The 24985-nt window shown below is 40.6% G+C and overlaps 1 protein-coding gene and 1 pseudogene across 2 annotated transcripts; both read right to left on the bottom strand.

Annotated features, from left to right (window-relative positions):
- ADGRF4 (adhesion G protein-coupled receptor F4) lies at positions 966 to 24400 on the bottom strand. Of its 2 annotated transcripts, none has more exons than NM_153838.5 (10): positions 24186 to 24400; positions 15642 to 15750; positions 14702 to 14756; positions 12094 to 12245; positions 10372 to 10623; positions 7803 to 9182; positions 6133 to 6174; positions 5629 to 5688; positions 4535 to 4591; positions 966 to 1771 (listed from the first exon to the last, which is right to left on the bottom strand). In NM_153838.5, the coding sequence occupies exons 2-9, from the start codon at positions 15732 to 15734 to the stop codon at positions 4538 to 4540; spliced, it is 2088 nt and encodes a 695-aa protein (NP_722580.3). In that variant the 5' UTR covers positions 15735 to 15750; positions 24186 to 24400; the 3' UTR covers positions 966 to 1771; positions 4535 to 4537. The 2 variants fall into 2 exon arrangements, with proteins under 2 accessions (NP_722580.3, NP_001334784.1); NM_001347855.2 differs by having other exon boundaries at positions 24274 to 24400.
- RN7SKP116 (RN7SK pseudogene 116) lies at positions 7379 to 7697 on the bottom strand (annotated as a pseudogene).

Genomic DNA, 24985 nt, shown 5'->3' with positions numbered 1-24985 from the left:
ACTATATTTCTCTTACTATGTGCTACAAAGATGGAAAGCTTTGGAAAATATGGAAAAGAAAGACTAAATGGTATTAGCATATGGAAATCATAAATTTGGCCTCGTTACAGTACCAAATAAATCTACTCAACCAAAGACAATTATTTGGCTTAGAATTGCATAATGCTCAGGAATTTCTGGATTGAGAGAAATAAAAGTTGTTTTTATAGTGGCAAGAGTCAGGAAGGAAATGTGGATTAATAAATTAATGCTAAGGAACTTTCATACATCTAAAAGTTAAATTCATGTCTCTCCAATGAACATTTTATTTTCATTTTTATGAGAGGAGAAAAATTTGCAACTGACCTAGAATTTTCACCCTTTAAATAATTACTATTAGGTTGAAACCAAATCTTATCTTGTTTCTAAACCAATACTAAAAGTTCTGACATGCCCCTGCAAAGAGATATTCATTGAGTTGTTTTGTTGTTTTATGAAAAAGCGTGACCACTAACTGGCTTTTATGACTTCCACAATTTGAACAAAGTGCATTTAGTTTGAAACCAAGTCTTATCTTGTTTCTAAACCAATACTAAAGGTTTTGACAGGAGCCCTGCAAAGAGATATTCATTCAGTTGTTTTGTGGTTTGTTTTATGAAAAAACATGACTACTAATCGGCTTTTACGACTTCCACAATTTGAACAGAGTGCTCTACCCACACAAATGTCCTTCTTCAGTACTGAATGCCTCACTATAAAACCAAACTGGTGATAGAAATTTCACTGAGAGTCCCTGAAAGACACTAGAGCTCTTTGCTAAATATTTCCAGGTTCCCGCCCTGTGAACACATGGCAGGCTTGCATTCTCAGGCCTCCTGTAGGTACGGTCAATGCACTGAGGTGGATTGATAGCAGCACTGGTACCCAAGAATGTGTGGTACCAACGGAGAAGCCCATCTCAAATGAACTCACACATGCGCAAGTTGTGAAAGGTACATATATTCGTTTATGTCTAAAATAACAACCAGAATCTTCTTTATATATAGTATTTTTAAAAGACACATATACACAAACACAAACATGTGCAGTAAACTCAAACACACAAACAGTAATACCTACAAGAATTTTTTTTTCCTGTTTCACAAATAAGGAAACTTGGATCCTAGAAGCTAAATTAGTTTACTCAAGGTCTAAAATAGACTAAAATAATCAGCATATTAAACAGTTCTCTTGCTTTTCTTCCGTTCCCTATCTTTAGGAAACGTACCATGACTTAATTGTCTCCAAAGTAGACTCATTCTTCCTCCTGCCAACCCACACTCCCACTCCCACCCCCAACCCTACCCCTAAAATTGGATCGAACCCTCACTGTCCAAAGTACCCAGGATCCACGCAGAGTGATGGAGGACTGAGCTATGGAGCCACAGAGCAGGCCTCAGGAGTGAAAGACGACCAAGCCCAGCAGGGCCCTACAGCCCCCAGCTGGCCAGGGAGACCATAAAATGGCTTGCAGATTGACTCTTAATCTAGTCAAGATTGACCAAGAAGCCAGCCTCTTGCAGGGCACGGGTAGGTTAAGGGGTCCATAAATCATGCTCCTTAAAGCCCAGTCAGCAAATGTTATCCTCAGTTTTTCTTCGGCCGACCAAGAGCTTGGGAGTCACTCCTGACAAGAAGAGAAAGTCTTCCAAGGAAGCATGACCATTCCTCCTCACTCCAGCCTGCTTTCCATGGCCTCTTTCTCCTGGATCTCCCCTCTTGGTCTCAGGACATCCATGAGAAATGGGGCAGCCTGGGAAATATGGTTGAAAAACAATTAATAGCAAGAATAATAGCTTGCATTGGGTTTTTAACGTGTTAGCTCATTTAATCCTGAAACTATCCTGGGAGGCATGTACTATTATTAACTCTGCTTTACAGAAGACGAAATGAAGCACAGAGCCGTTGAGTAATTTCCTCAAGGTCAGACAGTAAAAAGGCGATTCTCCCAGCTGCAATTTTTGGTGCCCTTTGCCTTCCCTGGGCTGCTCCTTCCACCCTAAACTCGGTGCTCAGTGCCCTCTCTCCCGCTCTGCTGTCTGAACTTGGATTCTAGAATGCCTCTGCTGCTGTGAATTTACATTGTAAACCGTGTTGCTTCCCTCCGGGTATATGCTCAACCAGTCTCATTTATTATTGTGGAGTGAAAAACTCTGTATCCTTTTAGTGATAAACCAATACTAAACAGGCATAAACAAATACATGCAAGACACTGGAGGAACCCAGAGCCTTCCTGGTGCCCCTGGAATCTAACAGCCAGCTTGTCCTACCCTTGATATGAACAACAGAAGGTGCTGTGGAGCTGTGGCCGCCAACAGAATGCCGTGGCCCTCTCTCCCCTGCCTCCCAGAATGGGGTTCCCAATGAGAATCTATACCCAAAGCTAAGTTCCCTGTTTCTCCACCTCTGCAGTCCTCCTTCCCTGACCCTGGGACCACCTGACAGACCTGTCTCAACCCTGTTTCTAAGAACAATTCTGACCTGCGATCATTGGGATATGAGGAGTGTCCCCCAACACTGGAAGCCTCAATTCTCCTTGCAAGTCCAGTTCTGACCTCTCGACCCATTTCCCAGAATTCTGCCTACCTCCTGAGACCATGTCAGCCTTCGATCCTCTATTCTTGGTGAAGGTCTGGAACACTGCCTTCCCTCGTGGTTCAGCCCTGCCCTGGACCACCACCTCTCCTGGTGCTTACCAAACACCCCCAGTGTGCCTGGGGTTTTGCCCTGAACACTGTGTGTGGGGCCCCTGTCTCCGCTGAGAGACCCCCTGGTGCTGCCACCCTCCACTCTGGACTTTGGAGGATCATCTAGTGTGAATTTCTTAGCCCTGTACTGTAATCTTTGTTAGGTCCCCAACATGGTCTACCATGATGCCAGCTGCAATTATAGAGCCCTTCTGGTACCATGTGTGTCCAGATGTGAAAAGCATAGTCCCCAATACTGAGAAAATTCAATAGGCACAGAGCCACTTGCAAGGGATATGCTAAAAGAATCCAGTCCTCAGTTCCTCGCCTACCTCATGTAGCTTCAAAAATACAGCAACTTGATAGAGAATTATGTGATGAAGACTTCTTCAGAGAGTATTGTAAGGGCATTCCACCTCCTTCCTGGACTTCCTTCTAATACTGGCAGACTCCTTTGTACATCCCCAACCCTAGTAAGTAGTGTAGCTCCTGATCTTGCCTTCTACTGTGTTTCTCCAACTTAGACTACAGCCAACCTAGGATCCCCAACCAGGTGGAGATAAGGCCTTCACTACGCACTTCTTCTCTTGAAAGGCTGGACACAGTATCCCCCAAAGGCAGGGCCCCCTCCACCTGAGACAGTCTGATAAACCTAAAACAAGCGGTTCTTTAAGTAGGACCTTAATAGAAAGGCCAGCTGTGTTTTTAATAGGTCATTTGAATTAATGACTCTCTATTAGTGGCAAATTAAGAAACGTTATAGCGATGTTTCATCCCCGAGGAAGCTGACAGACTAGGAAATGGGCAGCGAGCAGAAGGGTCAACTTTTGTAAAGGTCTCCTATAAAATTCCAAATAGGAGGACAATTATTAAAGATAACAGGCCTGTGTTTTCCTCTCCCCGTTTTCCCAGCACTAACACATGCCACTCCATGTATATGACACAGCCCTCCACCTCTCTCTCCCTCTCCCTGCGACTGTATGTCAGTATCCCATACCAGCACAGCATATGGTTTGTAGGGTCTGTAACATGGATGTCCCTTAAAGGTTTTTCCAACTCAGAGTGTCTTTGGTTCCATGAGACTCAGCCCCTTGTTTTGGCCCATTGCTCAATATATGGACCATGACTTAGAAAGGGAAAGAAATATAAAAAGGATGTGGCTGCTGCCAAATGGTATTTTGTTTGAAAGTCTGAAACTCTTCTATAACAATGCAGAAAGGCCACGAAACCTCTCCAAGCAAACCCATTCCCAAGGTTGATCATCCCTGCCCACATTCCCCCAGTACCTCTCAGGCTTCTGGCTGCCATTTTGTGACTTATTCTCCTGCTTCCTGGCTGCCTAATGTGTGTTCTCCCCTGGTTTCACCTGTGTAGAAATATGTCTCAGGGGTTGGCTATAAGTAGGTAGCTAATTTGCCGCAACCCCACCCATACCCCCTTAGGAATGATTCTGGGTTCCACTTCATTAAGAAAGACAGACCTGTTGCTTTGTAATTCCAATCAATCAAGTGTTCTTTTTCAACAATGGGGCTATTATGAGTGTTATTACTCACTGACAAGATGGAATTAAGGTATGTGAGCACTGTAGACAGCAGGTGTGATGGGTTTGGTCATGTAAGCTGAGATGACATAGGTTTTACAGAAAATGTACATATTTTCATTTATGTGCTAGACAATAAAGATGTTTCCATTCTTTGAAAAAGATGTCCCCCTCTTCCCCTCCCACCTCATTCTGGCAGCACGTAGCAGGCAATAGTGTGGTCACAAGGGGCATTGGTGGATTGACACAAATTGCAAGTGAAATTTCTCTTTATATTTTTAATACTCACATTTCATCCTTGACGATTCATTAATTTAGATCCATTGGTTGGGCCTAGTGATGCATTCTAAGTGGGGGAAAAATAACAGTAGTGGTAATGAGTAATTATATTGACAAAATGTATATCCCTCTCTAGAGATAAATATGTGAAAATGAATACATGAAAAGGAGTACCCACACTGATATAGCTACACAGAAGTAAATTATCATATTTCACTGAATCTAAGTGTAAGCTACATCGTTATTTTTATGTTCTGCTAAAAAATAAAAAGAAACAAAACTTTCCAACTAAACTATGACATGCCATTGAATATAAGATACATTCCAATTTCAGAAACGTTAAAAGACGAAGAAAATGCCTATCTTAGAATAGATAAATTATGATACTAAAAGTCCCACTCAATGCTATCTAAATATAAATGGTAGTTATCAATGTATCCAAAAAGTTTTCGTTTTTAAGGAAGGGGCTCCTAATGTGAATCTGTAGGTTAAACAAATAACTTCTAATTAATAAAGTAGTATCAGCAATTTTACTTGGTGCCTTAAGAGACTGATAGCCAGGCCCAAAGTCTTCAAGATCTCTAAATACATAGATACTCCAATCCAAGAGAGTATGGTTTACTCAAAAGAGTCTCAAATAAGGAGAATGGAAAGAGATTTTAATGCCAATTGCTCCCTGTTGTGATTCTGCTACTGATTAGCTGGGTGGCCATGTGCCCATCCCATAAGTATTCTGGGCTTTGATTTCCATACCTGTAAAATGAATGGGTTGGACTAGAATCTCATTTCTAACTCATTTCTCATTTCAGCGCTCTCACATTTTACCAATCTGTGATCCTGAGTTCATGTGGTCCCATCTTGATGGGTTCAAATGTCAAGCTGAAATACATCCAATGTGAAACATTCCCTTGAAGGGTATATTCCACTGACCTTCAGTTTTAGCAGAACACTCCAAATTTACCGAATGAAGAAATGAATGAATGAAGTACGCTTTATTGATCCTCTTTGCCCACAGATCCTGAGTACTGAGCTATGGTATTTGTCTCTGCATAACCGGCAAGGACACGGACTCTCCAGGGCTGAGACTAAAAGGGGAAGGCTTACCTCAGCTGCCCTCGATTTCCCCTTCAGTGAAGACATCCTCATCCTCAAAGCATCTCTTATCTAAAGAAGCAATGACAATGAGAAGTACCTCACAGATGTTGGAAGAAACAACAGAATTGCCTGTCCTGAAACTTTAAGACCAGTAACCCTGGCAGAAGCAATATCAGAGGACTTAGCATAGTGACTGGCAAGTAACAAGATTTGGATAAAAGCTAGGGTGTAATTATAATTAGATTTGGGATTTGGTATTAGGACTAAAATTGTGATTATGATTTCCATTCTTTTCACCAGCAATACTTGCACACAGCCTCCTGTTGACTTGATAAAGAGCAAGAAATGACAGAATATTGGTGTGTTTTTTTTTTCTTTTCACAGCTGATTCCTTGAACCATCCTCACAAACTCAACTCCCCTGGAGTATGCTCTCCAATCAAAACTGCTTCATCCTCCTGCTTCCCCCAGCCACATGAAAACCATTTATAAGGAGGAAGCAAATTCAAATTACCTTGTGATCCATAATGGTTCCAAACAGCAGGATGAAAAAACCCTGTGGCAAAATTGAACAGATTCATGAGGGATGGTTTTTCAAAAAATATTCCTGCTGTTATTTTCATACCGCTCTTCTAGATACCTCCTAGGGCAGTTATTGGACATTAGAAAGTTCAGTTTCCACTAATGCAGATAAAAATGCACTGATGGGTGTTCCTTTGAGTCTGCCCCCACCCTTGGAAGAGGATCATCACCCACAAAGGAATGTGCAGGAGGGTTATTGATATTTATTGAATGGCTGTAGATGTAGGATAGTTTTCAGCCTTATGCAGTTATGTTACTTTCTTCCCAAATATTGAGGTAGCTGTTTCTACTCGTGATGACAGAAACATGTGACAGAAACTTGTAATTCAAAATCACAATCATGGAAGGTGTCTTAAGAAAACGAAACTTATATTCTAGTCTACTTTGAGTTGGAGTTAAAAGTCAGTAAATAGACAGCCAAGGCCTCTAAGCTGGTGGAAAAAAAAAACATTTCTACATAAAAGAAAGAGAATGCTACAGAGATTTATAAGGCTAGGGTCTTTTCACTATCAATCTAAGGAGAGTTCATGGTGAAGAAACACTCATCAGATTAAAATTTTAGGAAGAGCTTGCTGAGAAAGGAGAAATGTATATAACTAAAAGCATTTGGGTATTTTTCTTTCTATCAAGAAGAGAGAAACACAAATGAACTGAAAAAGAAATACAGAGCAAAATTTCCCAGGGTTTAATTAAATTGCAAAGTAAGAAAGGATGAGATCATTACTCACCAGAGTAACTTCAAGAGTGGGGAAATTTATCAAAAGTCCCAGAGTCTTTGATAAAAAAAAAAAAAAAATCCCTCATGTCAAAGATTTCACTGTAAAGCAATGCAACAGAAAGAGTATAATAAATGTGCTCTATAGTTACTACAGAATTATGGGTAAGATATATAATTGATCTGAGTTGGCATTTCTTTAAAGTCTGCTTTCTATTTTGTATCATGCTTTTAAACAGAATGATACTGACATGTTAATAGGAATACTTTGATGTTTAGTTACATTATTTAAAAGAGTAGTGGGGAACATTCTACTGCAAAGAACCAAATAGTTGAGGCCCAGAGAAAAGTGGCATTCCCAAGATCAGCTAACATATGGCAAGATCTGTTTCTATAAATAACAATTTATTTTTATTTCACAGGGACTAGCAGGAAAGAGGTATGAGAACTCCTGACTGGCTAACACCCAAAGTGAGTGGCAAGGCCCATTACTTCATAATATAGAAAGTGACTGTTATCTCACTGAGTTCCCAAACCACTGGATAAAGGATAAAAAATATGCTTGTTTTGAGGCATAACATGTAGCCTCACATATCCCTGACCAAAGAATAGTCCTCTATAAGTGAAGGTTAGCTTCTTCTAACATTGAAACTTTAGTAGGGATACAGGTGCATCAGTGAGGAAAGAAGGAAGGAGATTTCCACCCAACCACCCTGGTCAGCTAAATTCAACTTGACAATCAATACAGTCACAGATGCCATAGCCAAATAACCCTAAGATGTAAAAGGAAGTGGAGAGAACATTTTGTGTTATATAATTTCAAATCATAGCCATTTTTTTGTGGTCTAGTCGGAGTAACACAGAAAAGTCTCCCTCTTGGAACTTACCTGGAAAGCATTGAGCAAGGCAAAAATTATATGGAACGTCAAGGAAGTGCCTTCTATGAGAGTGGCTATTCCAAAACCCCAGGTCAGTCCCAGCAGTGGAGTGAGGATGGCAACATTTTTGCTGATCCTCATAATTATGACCACATCCTGAGACTTGGAACTGCCAATAGAGGGCCTCTGAGTGTTGACAGCAACAACCAAAACCACAATCAGATTTACAGCCACAATGACGAACGCCGGGATGGCAAATGCTAAAAGGGCTTTGGTATTGTCCCAGTTAAGCCAACAGGCCTCAGGTCTCATGTAGCCTTTCTCTGGCTCTGTGATAGCAACTGTAGTGACAGCAATGATCAATGGGCACCCATAGCCAATGGCAAAGCCAATGACCATCATTCGGGACTTCATCATCCTACGGAAAATGACCAATATTCCATAAATGATGAGCAATGCTTTGAAGAGCATCCAGAAAAACAGAGAGAGGTAGAAAAAGTGGCTGAAAAATGTCACTGCAACACACATGTTGTAGTCCTGGGCCTTAATGTTAAAGTGAGAGCCTATGATAAACCACACATTGGCAGTCAGAAGGGACACTGCTATATTCACGATGCACACGTGACGCATGTATGATATCTCCGTCACAACCACCCGGGACCACACTGTGGCTTCAATGATCAGGCAAAGAACCAAGCTTAGGATTGAGACGCTGAGCCCAATGCAGGTGATGTAGTCCAGAACTTTGTCGGTCATCGATTTGGAGGACATGAGAATGGAAAAAGACATCACCACACTGGTGTAGTTACAGCGGCATTTCACTTCGTTCCTGATATCCAACATCATTTGGCACGCTTTCTCATCCCATCTCCTTTTCTTGGAGTGCCAGCCAACACACTGGGCTCTGGCATTGCGGGTTTTATTGATCTTTTCGAAGGTGAGTATGATTTCTTGCAACCTTTCTGGTAAAACCACTGATAGCACCAGACCATTTACCTGTCTGGGAAGACTCACATTTTGCAAGTGGGCTTCTCTCAGGATAGCCCCCAAGGTTGGGAAAGCTATGCTAATGGCTTGGGATGCATTTGGCCACAGCTTCCTTAGCTCTTGCCTGGGAATCTGTACCATTCCTAAGATATCTTCTGTGGTATTGTTCATGCTCATGGAGAAATTGAGGCTTTTCTCTGAGGTATTATGGTTGATGTGAAACCCTTTTGTCTGAATGAAGAGTTCATTCACAATGTTCTCAGAATTATTGTGGATGTGGAGTTGTCTGGCAAACAAATTCACTGACTGCAACAAATCCGAGCTGGCATTTTTGTTGGGAATGAAAGCCCAGTTTGAAATGGCTGCTGTGTCGAGGATGTGGTTGGCCACTTCACTATAGCTCTGCAATGGAGAAAGGTGAACATTATACTAAGGATTTACACATTGTTGTACAAAGTTGATTTCTAAAACCTGAAATTTCTAAAGATCAGGTTACCCAATCTTATTTGGCATATTTCTCTTCAAATTCCCTATGTATTAGAATCCACATTAGTAAGGCCACACAGAGGGAAGAAAAGTAAAATAATGCAAAAAAAAATCACAGCTAAGGTTTACCTGCTTTATTATTGCACGCAGGGCAGCATTTCCAGACTGCAGTGTGTAGAACCCAAGTTTCCCATGAGATTTTAATGATTGTTTAATGGAGGAGAGTGGAGGTATGTTCTCTGGTCATCCAAGCTTGAGAAAGACTGCACACCCTGTCCCTATCTCCCTCTGCCTTACAAAGAATTCCAAAGTTCATTAGGATATTAAAGGCTCTGAAAAGTCCTGCCATATGGAAACTTGCCTAACTTTGTTTAACTCAGAACCTCCCACAACTGATGGGCTACAGATCTCCCTTTTAAAAATGGAATCTCCATTAACTTTCTCAGAATGGTTATGTTCTACAGCAGTGGTCCTCAACCTTTTTGGCACCGGGTACTAGCTTCATGAAAGACAATTTTTCCATGGACTCTGGGTGGCAGAGGTAGGGATGGTTTCAGGATGAAACTGTTCCACCTTAGATCATCAGGCATTAGATTTTCCTAAGGAGCACACAACCTACATCCCTCTCATAGGCAGCTCACAATAAGGTCCGTGCTTCTACGAGAATCTAATGCTGCAGCTGATCCAACAGGAGGCAGAGCCCAGGTGATAATGTTCGCTCACCCTCCGCTCACCTCCTGCTGTGTAGCCCAGATCCTAAGAGGCCACAGCCCGGTACCAATCCACTGCCTGGGTGTTGGGGACCCCTGTTCTAATATAATTTAGAAACATTAGTGTACATTCCGTCTTGCTCATAGCCATCACTACACTATGTGATATTTTCTTCAAAATATGAAGTGTGTACAAAGATAGGTATTAAAAATGTTTTAACTACTTGAAAACCTCCATAAACTATAATGAATCAATATCCCAAACCGAAGTGAAATGCCTGCTGTTGCTTTGATGGTTGCTGTCACTGTAGTTTTTGCCCTGGAAAGTATATTTGAAACTATTCAAATGAAAATTTTAAGAAAAACATCATTTTTAAATGATTAACAAAGAATACCTTCATTTTCTCTCGAGTAACATTATCAGACAAGTCTGTAGAAATATTTTTTAATAACTCCACTATAAATGCAATATTTCCAGATGTTGTTTCTGATGATTTCACCATGTCAGTGATGCAGGCATAATCAAAGGGGCAGTTCTTACGGATTCCTTGAGCTACACTCTCAATGGTCTCTGGAGCTCGAAAGTCTAGAATATGCAGAGGTATAGATGGTGCTGCTACAGAAAGGCGAGATGCACCAGTTGAGTCCTGTTTAAAACAAATGTAGTTTCATTCAAAAATGATTAAGTACCTACCATGTATCAGACTAAAGGAGTTAAAGCACAATCTACATGGGTAAGGTAGATGGAGAAGCAAAGAGTCCTAAAAAGTGGTTTTGATGCAGAGGGGGGTGGAGACGATACAGTGGGATCAGAAAGAGGCAGAGGATTTCACCCAAATTACCAGAAACCAGGATATTGACCTTTACTATTGGAATTTGCTTTCAGGACAGTGATTTTTAACTCAAGTATTATAACAAGATAATTTTCTACAGAGAAGGGAAAGAAGAACCACATGGAATTTCATGGGGGAGTGGATTTGGGAGGTTGGCAGGTCAAACACAGAATGCTAAGGAATGACAATTTCAGACTTTAGAGTTTACTAGTTAGAAGAAGTGATTTGCTCATTTTCTGATTCTTTTACCTAGACTCACTCAGAATGTGCTTTGTATAAAGCAAAGCAATTATTTATTTCCTTTCATTCACTTTCGAGTGTGACCATAGTTGCAAGGACTTCTAGGTGATTACCTAGGCTAAGTGACAGAGAAGCCAGCTGCAATCCCCTTGTAAAACCACTGTTAAAATTTTAGAAAATGCAGACATCCATGTGCTTCCATGGGATTGCAGGGGAGGTAGAAGAAAATAGTTGCTACCTGGAAGGATATAAAAGAGATTTTAACTTTAACTGGATGTGTTGTATGCATTCAATTCTGTTCCTCTAGATTGAGCACACATCTCTCCTTTCTTTTGGTCAAGAGATTGAAAGTATTAAAAAGAGATATCAAGGCCCGGCGCGGTGGCTTACGCCTGTAATCCCAGCACTTTGGGAGGCCGAGGTGGGCAGATCACGAGGTCAAGAGATCAAGACCATCCTGGCCAATATGGTGAAACCCCATCTCTACTAAAAATACAAAAATTAGCTGGGTGTGGTGGCACGTGCCTATAGTCACAGCTCCTCGGGAGGCTGAGGCAGGAAAATTGCTTGAACCCGAGAGGTGGAGGTTGCAGTGAGCTGAGATTGCGCCACTGCACTCCAGCCTGGAGGCAGAGCAAGACTCCATTTCAAAAACAAAAAAAGAGATATCAAAATAAATTTGATCCTAGATACATTTAGTTGATTAACTGATTATCACAAGAGGCATACCAACCCACCTTTAGAGCTAAAATGTAACCTCTAAGCAATCATATACACAATAGCATAAATGAGTTTCATATCTTTTTTTTTTTTTTTTTGAGAAAAGTTTCTTAGCGGGAGAAATAGAGAGCATATAGAGAGGAGGGAGAGTACCTGAAAGTTTGGGTAAGGAAAGAAGGTCAAGAAACAAATTTAACCCATTCTGTAGATTTTTCTAAGTGCGGATCTGAGACTTTTTGTCATGCTGAACAGATCACATTAAAAATGTGTCTACTTTCTGCTGGGGGATTGGCTTCTGTCACCAATAATTTGTGAATGCATCACCTTAAAGAGTTTTTCCACAGAAAGGCTTGTACATGTTTCAGCTGATTTTTGCCACTTTTTTTGATTACATGTAAATCCTATTTCTCCATGAAAGTCCTTAGCACAGGGCTGGCTGCAGTTGGAAGAAGAAATACAAGGTCCTTCGCATTTCTCTATAAAGAAAAAAAGAGAAAGAGAGAGAGACAGGAGCCCAATTAGGATTTCCACATTTTGACAGGTGCATCAAATTCATTCTGGAGATTTTTGGATTGCTTCCTGGAGGAGGCAATTGGGTTGAACTGGGTCCACGGCAATGAGTAAGAGCTGCCAGGTAGATTGTGCAGCTGGTATCCAGGCAGAGTAAACAGCACATGGAAAGGGGAATTTCACATCATTCAGAAAGGCTAGTCCAGAGCACCTGAAGGGGGAGTGGCAAGAGATGAGGGTGGGAAGGAAAGCAGGGGTTAACTCATGCAGGGCCTTGAATGCTGTGCTAATGTGGGAGTTACCAGAAGACATGATTGAACTTGTTTTTGAAAGATAATTGATGATAAGATAGAGCAGGAGTCCATAAACTTTTATGTAAAGGAACACATAAATGGAGTTGCTGGATAAAATATGGGAATCCCAGTTAAATGTCAATTTTATTTTCACACACAGTTGATTCTCATTATCCACAGGAGGTATGGTCTATAAAGTCACCATGAATACTAAGTGTTCTGAACAATTGCTCCTAGGGTAATATAAGGTTAGGGTCCTACAAGCTTCTGCTTACAACAATTTCATCAACTAATCAATATATGACCTTGTTTGATGTGTGTTTCTATATAAAGATACCTTATTTAATATATATTGTCGATTCATTAACATTGAACTCATGGGCAATAGCACTATAACTCATACCTGAACAAAGCTTATCTAACATATGCATTTTCTCCATAAGACACATTCCAGCCTTCTCTGGCTTAGGAATGCTAGGCAGGGCTTCAGCACTATGTTTGGTGGCTATTTTAAACAGCAAAATCACCAACAAAAAGCACAAAAATACAAAAAAAAAACTGTGATGCTACGTAGACTAGGAAAGAACAGTTGTTTATAGTAGGAGAGCTAGAACAAGAAGGTAAAGCATCACCTTGTCCAGCCCCTGCTGAAAACATATGCACTGGGCAACTCAATTTTTTGCTGCTCTCTGCATGTCTGTGAATGACCACAAAAGCACTGGGAGTATTGATTTAGGGAATACAAATAAATTTCAGCATTAGGCAAATATGCAAATATAGAATCTGCAAATAATAAATGACTGTAAATGCTCAGATAAACAACAAATAAGTTTTTAGTGTCTGTATGACCCATGCGATATTATTCATTGTTTATCTGAAATTCAAATTTAATCAGGCATTCTATATTTTCATTTGCTAAATATGGTAATTCTAGCCAGAGAGTAAATATTTTCAGCTTTGCAGGCCATATGAGTCTTAGTCACAACTACTCAACCCTGCCTTTGTAGTGTGACAGCAGCCAAAGACAATACGTAAATGAATGGGCATGGCTATGTTCCGAAAAAACTTTATTTACCAAAACTAGTGGCAGGCCAAATGTGGCCCATCGGTCAGAGTGCATGCACTTCAGATAGGAAGAACGAGGCTGTTGAAATATTCTCAGGTTAAGATAGCAGCTGGGGAAAATGGAAAGTAAATGATGCTGAGAGCTATTAGGGTGTTCAAATCAATAAAATGAGGTAACCAGTTGCCTGAGAGTCACCTTTAGTGGCTTGGGCAGCTCTGTGATGACTGAATTCACTGGAAAAGGAACCAAGCTTTGCCAAACCTTGTTTGCAAAATTTGCATCAAACCTTGTTTGTAAAATTTGCAACAGTTTTTGCAAGTTCATTAACCAGAGTAGTTCTCATTTTCTTCTTCCATATAGTTTGAATATGATGCCATAATGTTGTTACAAATATGGAATGAGACAGCATTTTATGCAACACTTAGATTCAAGTTGTCTTAAATGCCCAGTAAATGTTAGTTACCTTTCTCTCTGCTTTTCTTTCTGACTTCCACATCTATATAAGAATGTATTTGCCACCTGGCCATAATTGTGCAGAATCCAGTTATTCCCTACTACATGAGTGAGAACCACATGATTTCACTGAAGTACTCCTAGTGATTACCCCCTTAGTTTACTTCTCACTTCTTGAGAGTGACCAGTCTCATCACCATGATGTCCATCTTACAGTGCTTTAATAGAGTTCTCAGCACCAGAGTGTTGCATACATTTAAGCACCCTGAAAATATCTTTGAATGAAGGAAGAAATAATCTTGTCCTCTTTCCTTTTCTGCCTCCTGTTAACTCATTACTTTGAACAGATTTCTCTTTGGGATTTGGAAGTATGTATTTGTCTACTATTCTAGAGCACATGTGAATATTTGCTAACTCCCTTCATTGACTATGCCACTGGTAATGGTATAAATGTAAGAGAATCTATCAATACTGGTAAGCACAGAGGACTTACTGGAGATTGCTATTCAGTTGGAAAGCCTGTGGTCTGGGGACAAGCTTGCAACATCAGTGCCCTTCCTTTATTCTTCCCTGTCTTCAAATGGATGAAGACTGTTCTATAGCCACATACCTTGGATCCTTCCAGTCTTGGGTTTCCCTTCAGGGCTTTGAAGTTTATCTCCAGCCTGAAAAATATAAATTCCCAATGGTCCTCTTTACTGTGGGACTCTGCTCCCTCATCTCAGCTTAGAGGCTCCATATGAATATGAAAAGAAAATGTGTTCAGGACTAGAAAGAAAACTGCAGCAGATAAATGTGCTGGTATTGCGGTAACTTGCTGAAGGAAATGTGGATGAGAGCACAGGGAGAATGCACGCCCTCTGATAAGGGATAGAACCTTGATGGTGGTCACTTGGCCTTTCTAGGTGAAGTTAGTAGAGATGCTACATCTTTCAAAAAGTTTAAGCATCCAGGGAGAACACAGAGATGAGAATTAAACCACTAATCTGTTCTCTGCCTGTATTAACTGTAAGGATGAAATGAAGTTAATGTGGTCCACCAGATACTGTAGATCCTTAGAAGACAGAAATGAACAGGAATACTAGGAATACTAGGAATAATCACTAGGTAGCAATAATAGAATCACAAATCTCTTATGTCTATAAAGAACTATAAATAATATCTTTAAAAACTTCATCTTATAGATAAAGAATTTGGGACTCAGAAAAGTGAAACAACTTGTGCAACTAGTGGAAAGCAAAATTAAGATCTGACTCTCCATTGTTCAACTGCCAGGTGAGTACTTTCTTCTCTCAGCAGCAGTCTATCTACATTCTATCTACATTTCCCATTGCAGCTTGATTATTCTACTGTACTGTAGCTCTCCAGGCAAGTCCCTGCCACCTCTCAGCTTTTCTTTGTTCCCTTCTTTAGAAAGTTACTATCAGCAAGAGTAAAGTTGTAACCATTTGAAAATGTATTTAAAATGACATCTTATTTATCAGAAGTCTTGCCATTGAGGGCAACTGAGAGATTTCTCCTCGGATCACATAGGAATAGATCAAACTTACTTTTAGGTGAATCTTGGATCTATAGTGGGAACATTCTGTGGACAGAAAGAACACTAAGCAGCAAATCATGGTTGCCTGGGACTTCATTTTCATACATGAGGATCTTCACCTGCAATAGAGAAAGAAGGCATACCCACCTGAAGGTGACAACTTCACGCAACTAACAATACTTATCCGGCTAACCAACCCCTTAGTGAACCCACTAGATACTCTGAGATAGTCATGCCAAAGCAGCCTGCCCTGGAAAAGCACACCAATATCTATTTTCAAGCCAGCTAAAATGTACGAAAGAAAATAATTTCTCTCAACTGTTAACTTTTCTACAGAAGAAGATAGAATGATGGAAGAACCAGAACGGATGTAGTTTCACCAAAGCATCATTCCTTATTATTTAATTAACAAGTTTATTTAATAGTCATATTTATCAAGAATATCTATTTGCCAATAACTTTTCTAAGCACTGTCTTCGCATAAATTCCTTTAATCCTATGATGTAAGATGCTATTACTATCTTCATTTTATCATTGGGGAAAATAAGGGACAAAGAGTTGAGCAACTATGAGCCCAACATCACTCTGATAAAAAGTGGTAGAGCCACGAGTTCAACCCAGATGATCCAGCTGGACAGCCATTCTTCATCTCTGTAACAGGATATCTCTGTGACGGTGCTATTGACATTCTGGATTGGACAATTCTTTGCTGTTGGGGGCTGTCCTGTGAATTGTAGGATGCTTAGCAGCATCCCTGGCCTCTACCCAATAGATGCCAGTAGCACTCACTACCCGCCCTCAATTGTTGTCAAATGTGCCCTTGGAGGAAAAGACCTCCCCCAGTTGAGAACCACTGTCCTATAGTGTACTGTCTGTCTAGGCATATGGAGACAAGTAACTTAAAGTGAAATTAATAAACCCAACCGTCTGCTACCGGAGCAAGCTCTGAGACTCCCTCTTAGAGATGGATAAACTACTATACAGAGAAACTAGATGCGCAGGAAGATAACTCTCTATTCTTTTGCCATATCTCTGTTTCTTGCCTTTTTCCTGAGAGTTCTACCTTTCAAAGCCAAATCTCAAAAAAAATCCTTACAACAGTTGAGATTTATCAACATCATCATGATCATTACTATGACACTTTCATATGGGATAGTGGCAATTCAGACCCCTTATTGGCAATAAAGTTCCTTAAAATGATTTTCCTGGAAATCCAGATGCAGCAAAATAAAAAGATCTTTGATTTTAGAATCAGCAAGAACTATACTATAATCTGATGTCTACTATGGATGAACTAGCCTATTTTTTCATCCATTTCATAAAATGTAGATGATCATTCATTCTATCAACCAACATTTACCAAGTGTCACTCATTTGCTAGAAATTGTACCAGATGCTCAGCATACAGAAATAAAAGATGCTATTTTTCCTGTAAAAGATGTTCAGTGGGTAACAGACAAGTCAAACCAACAGTGAGAAGAGAGATCACCTACACATCACATTCAGTGAACACAACCAGGCAAAGACTATCCTCAGCAAACATAAATTCCCTTATGATCCAGTAGAGATGACCTAGGTCCTGATCCAACTAGGTTCATAAGGCAATCAGTGACCAGGGAGCCGACAGAGCTCACTGATCTGACATCAGACCCTTTCTGGGTAGAGTCAAGCATAAGATGGACTTTCCTGGGTCCAGTGAGCCTTCAGCTGAGATGACAAGCCACAGGCACTTACAAGAATGCTTCCAAATTATCTTTGAGTTTCAAGTTTCTAACCAATGAACAGAGGGGAAGGTGTGTTTATTTACAACATCATCTGGCAGAGCAAGTCTGAGCAAAGGAAAGAGAACATGGCAGCATGACAGGCAAGGTGTGGTAATAGATTTGATAGGAGCTGGGATTATGAATGTGGAATTCATGATCTTACAGTGTGGGTAGAAAGAAGTCTCCATGTAGGCCGTAAATTGATGAATGGGCCTAAGCAATTTGCAATGTGAATATTGTCCAAGATAGATGCTTAACTGATCATCACTAAAGAAAGTACCAGAAGAAACAGTATAAATTGTTTTAAAAGTATCCATATGTTTCACATATACGACTTTGGCTTTCAAAAATTTTTGACAGGCCGGGCACGGCAACTCATGTCTGTAATCCCAGCACTTTGGGAGGCCGAGGTGGGCAGATCACGAGGTCAGGAGATCAAGACCATCCTGGCTAACAGGTGAAACTCCATCTCTACTGAAAATACAAAAAATTAGCCAAGTGTGGTGGCAGGCGTCTGTAGTCCCAGCTACTCTGGATGCTGAGGCAGGAGAATCGCTGAAACCCTGGAGACAGAGGTTGCAGTGAGCTGAGATCGCACCACTGCACTCCAGCCTGAGTGACAGATGGAGACTCCATCACAAAAAAACAAAAACAAAACCTTGACAATGACACAATAAAAAACAGATCTTATATTATGACTCACTATGTACAGACATACATAGATATGTATCTATGTATGTATATCAGTGTCTATACATAAAACCAAAAAAGCATAATTTTTATCTTTACGATTTTTATGTAAAAATACTTATCTTTGCTACCTACAAGCAAGAACTCTGATATATCCAATATTTTTATCTTACATTCTTCTCTATTCTATTTGACATTCTCTCAAATACTAGTTGTCACCCACTAAGTTTAATTCACAAGACTCTAATGGATTGTAACCTGCAGTTTGAAAAACAGATACAGACTATAAGATTCATTTTGATTATCAAGCTGAAGATTGTTCACTTCTCTCATTAAAGTGATCACTTTAATCCTTTCTCTTTGCTAGCCTTCACAATTATACTGAAGTCTTCTTCACAGGGTGTGTGTGTCAAGGAGAAAAGAAACCTATTCTCAGGACCAAATAATAGGACCGATGCTGAAGGCAAACCCAATTCCTCTCCACATTTCAGATCATAGTCAGAAATGTGCACTAAAATGGGTGAAGGCGAGACGAAGGGAGGCATTTGTAAAGAATAGCACCTGCTGCCGGGTGCAGTGGCTCATCCCTGTAATCCCAGCACTTTGGGAGGCTGACCTGAGGTCAGGAGTTCGAGACCAGCCTGGTCAACGTGGTGAAACCCCATCTCTACTAAGAATACAAAAATTAGCGAGGCATGGTGGTGGGCATCTGTAATCCTAGCTACTTGGGAGGTAGGAGAATCGCCTGAACCCAGGAGGAGGAGGTTGCAGTGAGCTGAGGTCATGCCATTGCACTGTAGCCTGGGTGACAAGAGCAAAACTCCGTCTCAAAAAAAAAAAAAGAATAGCACCTGTTATCTGAGGCTTCAGGAGAAGGGTCATGTTTACTGTCCATTACCTTTAATATAGGAGTTTTGTTTTGAGCTAACCTTGTTGAAAGAAAGTATTTGGCATAATGATGTGATGTCATTTGTGAAGTCTAAAAATGTCTCTCCAACTAGTGCTAGGCCTCCAGCTGCACACAGCTCCTGAACGTGTTCAGGGAGTAAAGGATCCAACAGCTATGACATTTTCTGCAAATCATGCTTTGTGGAACAATATTGAATAATGATACATTTCATATATGTACATAAATAAAAACTTTTACTAGCATAAAATATATATGTAATATGAAATCATAAGCGTGACCATAAAATACATGAATTTGAACTAAGCACAAATGGCTGAAGGGTTTTGATTAATTAATTTGCTACTTGATCATTCATGTTTCTATAGTCTGGCATATGTAACTATATACCATTTGGGATGGTAATTTATATAGTAAATTTCCTTCCGATATTACAAATGTTGGGGGAGAATATTCAGTGACATTACCCAAGAGGAATCATAGCATTTTTATTTTAGCCCAGTTTGATTGGCAGCGATGGATTAGATAGACATTTTCAGGTTAGCCCTAATTTGGTTGGTTCTCTTCTCACCAGAAAGGGTCGAATGGGATCCCTCCTTTCAGAATTCAAATGTAGCTAAGGCCAAAAGCCAGAGTCCTCTGCAGAGAAGAGCTTAAGGATTCTGAGAATGAAGAATTTAAAATTTTATTAAAAGCTTTGGCAGCATAATTTATCCTCCTAATTCATCCATGGTTGATATTTTATAGAATGTAAAGGAGGAAACACACATCCTTAGATCTACCACTGATAAAGATTAATAATTAAAGTGAATTGGAGTTTATCAACATTCCAAACTGAAAAGTTTCAGTAAACACAAATATAGTATCTCTCCAGCACCTAGCACATGTCTATATGTAGTGAGTGGTCTCCTGAAAGGATGAGGGAAAGAAAAGAACAAGCATGCAAAACCTAAATATTAAATTAAATGTAACAAGAAGAGTGAGAATTGTCCAGATGGATATAAGCAAACCATGGTCAGTACCTAAAGAAGAAGCTTTCATATGGGAGCCTGATGGGGGCTAACTCACCCAGGTGAGGGACATACCAGTTTCTGGTAAAGAGTGGACAGCCAGTGCTAGATCCTATCCTATGTGGAGAATCCAGACTTGTTCCAGGCATATTCTCCTTAAATTACCTTTATTCCATTTATTGACTTCTGGTTCTACATTCTGTTCAGTTTGTCAACAAAATTGTGTATTCTCTTATATTCTCTATCTTTATAAACCCTCTGTGTATGGTGGCAGAAAAACACTTTGTTGGGAAGAGACGTCTCCATTTAAATCAAGATTCTAGTACTCAGTGAGGGGAAACAAAAACAGCAAGCAGTAATTGTGACAGAATAATGCTGGAACAAGACATATTTATGTTTGAGGTTGATGCATATTATCCACCATTTGTTTGTCAACCATTTGTAGCAGGCACAAAAAGGTTAAAGAAAATGGAACAGAAGAAAAATTTAACCTTGAAGGCATTTATATAGACTGACCTAATTTTCTTTGAATTCGGGGAGTGGGACTGCTCTACTTTTAGTAGGCAAACAACGGAGGCTTTTGTGTCTACTGTATTTGACCAAGGCCTTGTGTCCTCACATGGGTTTCTGTGGAAGACTGGTCTCATAAAAGCCAAAGGGGTTCCATGGTCATATCAGTTTGGGAAACGATGGGTAACACCACTGCCCAACTCCCCCCAACACACACACAGACACACACACAAACAGGCATGAACACATATCAAAGGTTCTGAGATTTCTTGTAGTAAGAAAACTGTTTCACCCAGGATTTACCAATTCACTTGATAATCAGAAATTCTAGGCCAGGCGCAGTGGTTCACGCCTATAATCCCAGCACCTTGGGAGGCCAAGGCGGGTGGACCACCTAAGACCAGGAGTTTGAGATCAGCCTGACCAACATGGTGAAACCCCCTCTCTACTAAATACAAAAAAATGAGCCAGGCGTGGTGGTGCATACCTATAATGCCAGCTACTTGGAAGGCGGAAGCAGGAGAATCAAATCGCTTGAACCTGGGAGGCAGAGGTTGCAGTGAGCTGAGATTGCACCATTGCACTCCAGCCTGGGCAATAAGAGTGAAACTCTGTCTCAAGAAATAAAAATAAAAATAAATAAGTAATCAGAAATGCCTTGAGGAGTTTCAAGCTGCTATTCCATCACAATATGTTATCTTGGAGGAAAACACATTAATCTATCCAGACTTAGGCTACACATGTATTTGTTGGGCATCTACCTAATGCCCGTCACTGTGCTGATATGTTCATGGGAGCTCTTTAAGTCATTCACAGCAAAGCTTGGGTGACCACAAGAAAGAAATCAGTTTCAGAAATGAAGAATTAAAAAGTGAAAGAGAAAACAAGAAGCAAAAGAACTCTTGCCTGAGGCTATCTGTGGCAAGAAGGTAAATAAAGGGTTAGTCATTTATAAATTCCCTCCAATTGCTATACTAGTCACCCAATAAGGGCAGCTCCACATCTCCTTCCCAAGGTGTCTGCAAGATGATTTATTTCAGAGATAAAAGCAACTAAGCCACCTAGAAACGCAGCTTCTTGGGACCTGAAAAAGTCACGTCGCAGGTTCCTTCTCCTCCACTTCCATAACCCGCCTCTTTCTGTGCATGATTATAAAAGTGTTAATTACCCACTATAATTCACCTTTGTTTTTCACACAGTACTAAAAAGCAATTCAAGCCTGCTGAATGGAGGCCAGGCTCCCTGCTCTAACATGGTCATTACAAAGAAAAAGATAACATTTGCTGGTCATTACAAAGAAAATAACATTTGCTGGCCTCAGAGAGTTACAGGCAAACACAGCTAGACCTGATTGTCCCAGGGTGAATGTGTCTAAGGATCTACCTCTCCATCAAGTTTACAGTAATCAGCGACTTTCACACCGCTGCCTAAATTCTAATCACAATGGGTCAACAGAGCACAACAATTTGTGCTCTTCCCCCCCAGAGCCTGAGAGAAATTAGGCCACACCTAGTGAAATAGGCAAAAAAATGTAAACACCTGATGTTTCTCTATCCTCAGCACCCAGCAGAGGATAAGATACAGAATAGACACTCAGTAAACATTTGTTGTATAAGTGAATGAATTGGGAAATGATTCCTGCAGAGTGACATCAGCATCTGAAGTTTTTGCTTTAAAATCATGAGGCAACTTTTCTATCTCAGAGGGTCAGGTGAGCACGTTTGCAACTCTAGATGATTTTGGAACCTGGTGACTTAAGTAGATGCCAGTCCTACTGTGGACCTCCTCTTTATTGTACTGCCTGGAGCCTTATGTGAAAAAAGAATTGAGCAGGAAATAATGCCATGCCAGGTTAGGGATGTCCGCCATGGGCACAAGAGGGTGTCATAACAATGCATGTGTCTTTTTCCACACTGTCTCCATAAGTCAGAACTAATAAAACCCTATTTCTCCAGACAGACCCAGATGACCCCAGCTGTTCTGAAACACCATCTCCTATTTGTCCCATCTTGCTTGTACCTGGAGCAGATTTTCTGAATGAGTTGGAATTTAAAACTACAGTGAGTCTGTCTGGGTACTGGAGCTTCTTTCTGAAACATGCCAGATGGAATTGTAGGGGATGACTCACACAGACTGAGTACTCCCTACCCGTCTGAACACGCTGAGTGCGGCCTGACATCAGGACTCCCAAAGAAAATTTTAAAAGGTCAGCTGGGAACTGTAAGTGTAGTCAGTCAGGAAGGAATGCATCAGAAGGTGTGATCTCGCAAACCTGTTCATGCAAAACACCCTAAGGTGAATGGCCAAGAATATTTGTGAATCAAGGAAATACTTTCCCAAAGGGTTCCTCTCCCCGGAACTGTACCACAAGGTGAGAGGGAGTGCCTCTTCTCACTTTTTTGCCAGTCTTCAAGGTGGCAATTCGCCTCTTACTCCCAGGCCAGACCATTGTCTGATGGGAACAACCAATCCAAAGAGGTTAACTAGAGGGCAAGGAACCTAAGAGTTAAGTGACCCACATTTTGGGGGGGGGGGTGTGTCGTCTGTGTGTGTGTGTGTGTGTGTATGTGTGTGTGTGTTGTTCCCCTAATTCTATAACTGTCTGTCTGTTTCCTCTGTTCCAGTAGTATAATTAGAACTCTGATTATAACATCAGATGGATAAACGAGTTGTTTATGTGTTTAAGACCCAGTATCTCTTGCCCTCATAGCAGAATCTATTTAGTTACCCTTAGAGTTCTCCCTTGCCATGGAAGAAATGCTTCACATAGAGCCTTGGGGGAAAGAAAGATAGAAAAGAACTATTAGAATCAGAAACATCTCATCTTTAGCTACTTTAGATGGCTTCCAGCCAATCTGTTTGTAGCCCAGCATCTCTTCTAAAAATTGGAATCTGGATTCAGATTCTGATAGGTTTCAAGAATCACATAATTTCAGAGTTGGAAGACAATTTCAGAGTTAGAAGACATCTAGATATCTCACCAACTATCTTGATACTTATAAAATTTTAAAGAAATTTATACGCCCAGCAATTGCCTCTGGTCCATGAAGAAAGCTCATGATGTGCTGACACTGAAAAACAAACAAACAAACAAATAAACAGCACCTAATGATGCAACACTTTAGACCTCTCACAACTGTCTTCAGAGTATAAGGAATATAGACCTTCAAGTAGCATAGAATTGGCCACTTGAAACAAGGGAAGATGCCTTTGCAAAAACGTGTTTGGCAGTAACTGGAGAAATGTTTTTTTAAATTGATACAATGATAGCTTTTTCAGGCTCACTAAAAGAAGAAACTAATCAAGAACACTTTTAAAACAACATCCAGCTTTACATTCAGTCTAAAAGACAGGTATTGAAATTTATCAAGCAAGGGGACAATGCAGGGACAGTGAGTTTATTTGCCTGACAGGATACTTTGCATTTTCACTCCTAGGAGTGAGCCATTAAAGCCTGACAAACAACTCTTAAAGAAAAACAAACGTAAAAGAGGCTTAGGAAATACTCCAACCTTGAGCTAGCCAATTTCTAAATCATGTTAGAGAAGTTTCCAGAAGAATCAAGCATTCCAGAAAATACCATCATATATCACGCATTTCCCCCTCCTGGAATATGTGCAAAAACAAGCCTTTCTTCAACAGGAAAATGGTGCTGGTGTAGGACATCTACTCACGGCATCCAGGAAGTAGATCTAGCAGCCCAGAGGTGGAGAATCACCCAGCAGGAAGGTCAGAGCTCAGCTCCCTAGCATGATGCCTCACCATCACGTGGCACCTCCCACGGTCCCTGGTCAGTGGCTGTGATCTGTCTTCTCCATTTTTGAAATGGGAGTCCAAGGGGCCCAGTGAGAACTGACTGCCTGTTGCGAGAAGCCGATCTGAGAACTGTAAAGTTACCCACAGTTTCAAGGCTTGTGCAAGTCTGTGATTCACTCCACTATGGGTCCATGAAGCACGCCTAAGAGAAATTACAGGTTTCTCCTGTCTGAAGCAAATCCATTAAAGTGAGTCACTTGTTTGTCTTTCAGTTCTTCATCCTTATCTCAGATGATTGCATGAGACTCTGCTTGCATCTGCTGCACTGGGATAATTGGAAGGAGGGTGATAAAATGCAAGGTTATGCCACTATTGTTGATGATTTTTAAAGGCTGATACTTTTTTTTTTTGCCTGTTCTGATGTTGAACTTGGAGGAAATTGGCTGATAAACTGGTGCATCAATTGTGATCTAATTCCTAACCTAGCAACAGAGAGATTTCTGTTTTATTTTTGTAATGACCGGGACAAGGAGTTCTCACTGAGCCACTACATGACTGTGGTAATTCAGACACAGAAGACACTGTGTCCACTTGTGGGGAATGCACACGGTTTGACTTTGGACAGGGGAGCCAGTTTGCATTGTTCTGCTAACCACCAAACAGTCCCACACATCCTAGTTCTACTGTTGTCTACTCACAGGCCTTCCTTCCCCAAAGA

Source organism: Homo sapiens, chromosome 6, assembly GCF_000001405.40.
Source record: "Homo sapiens chromosome 6, GRCh38.p14 Primary Assembly".
Taxonomy (NCBI): domain Eukaryota; kingdom Metazoa; phylum Chordata; class Mammalia; order Primates; family Hominidae; genus Homo; species Homo sapiens.
Note: the sequence above shows the minus strand (reverse complement) of the source record. Positions and strands in the feature narration are given on the sequence as shown.

Coding starts and splice junctions, on each gene's coding strand:
- ADGRF4 (NM_153838.5), bottom strand. CDS start 15,734: ATGAAAATGAAGTCCCAGGCAACCATGATTTGCTGCTTAGTGTTCTTT. Junction 10,624..12,093: donor CTGTGGAAAAACTCTTTAAG/GTGATGCATTCA, acceptor TGTTTTAAACAG/GACTCAACTGGTGCATCTCG. Junction 9,183..10,371: donor TTACTCGAGAGAAAATGAAG/GTATTCTTTGTT, acceptor TCTCCATTGCAG/AGCTATAGTGAAGTGGCCAA.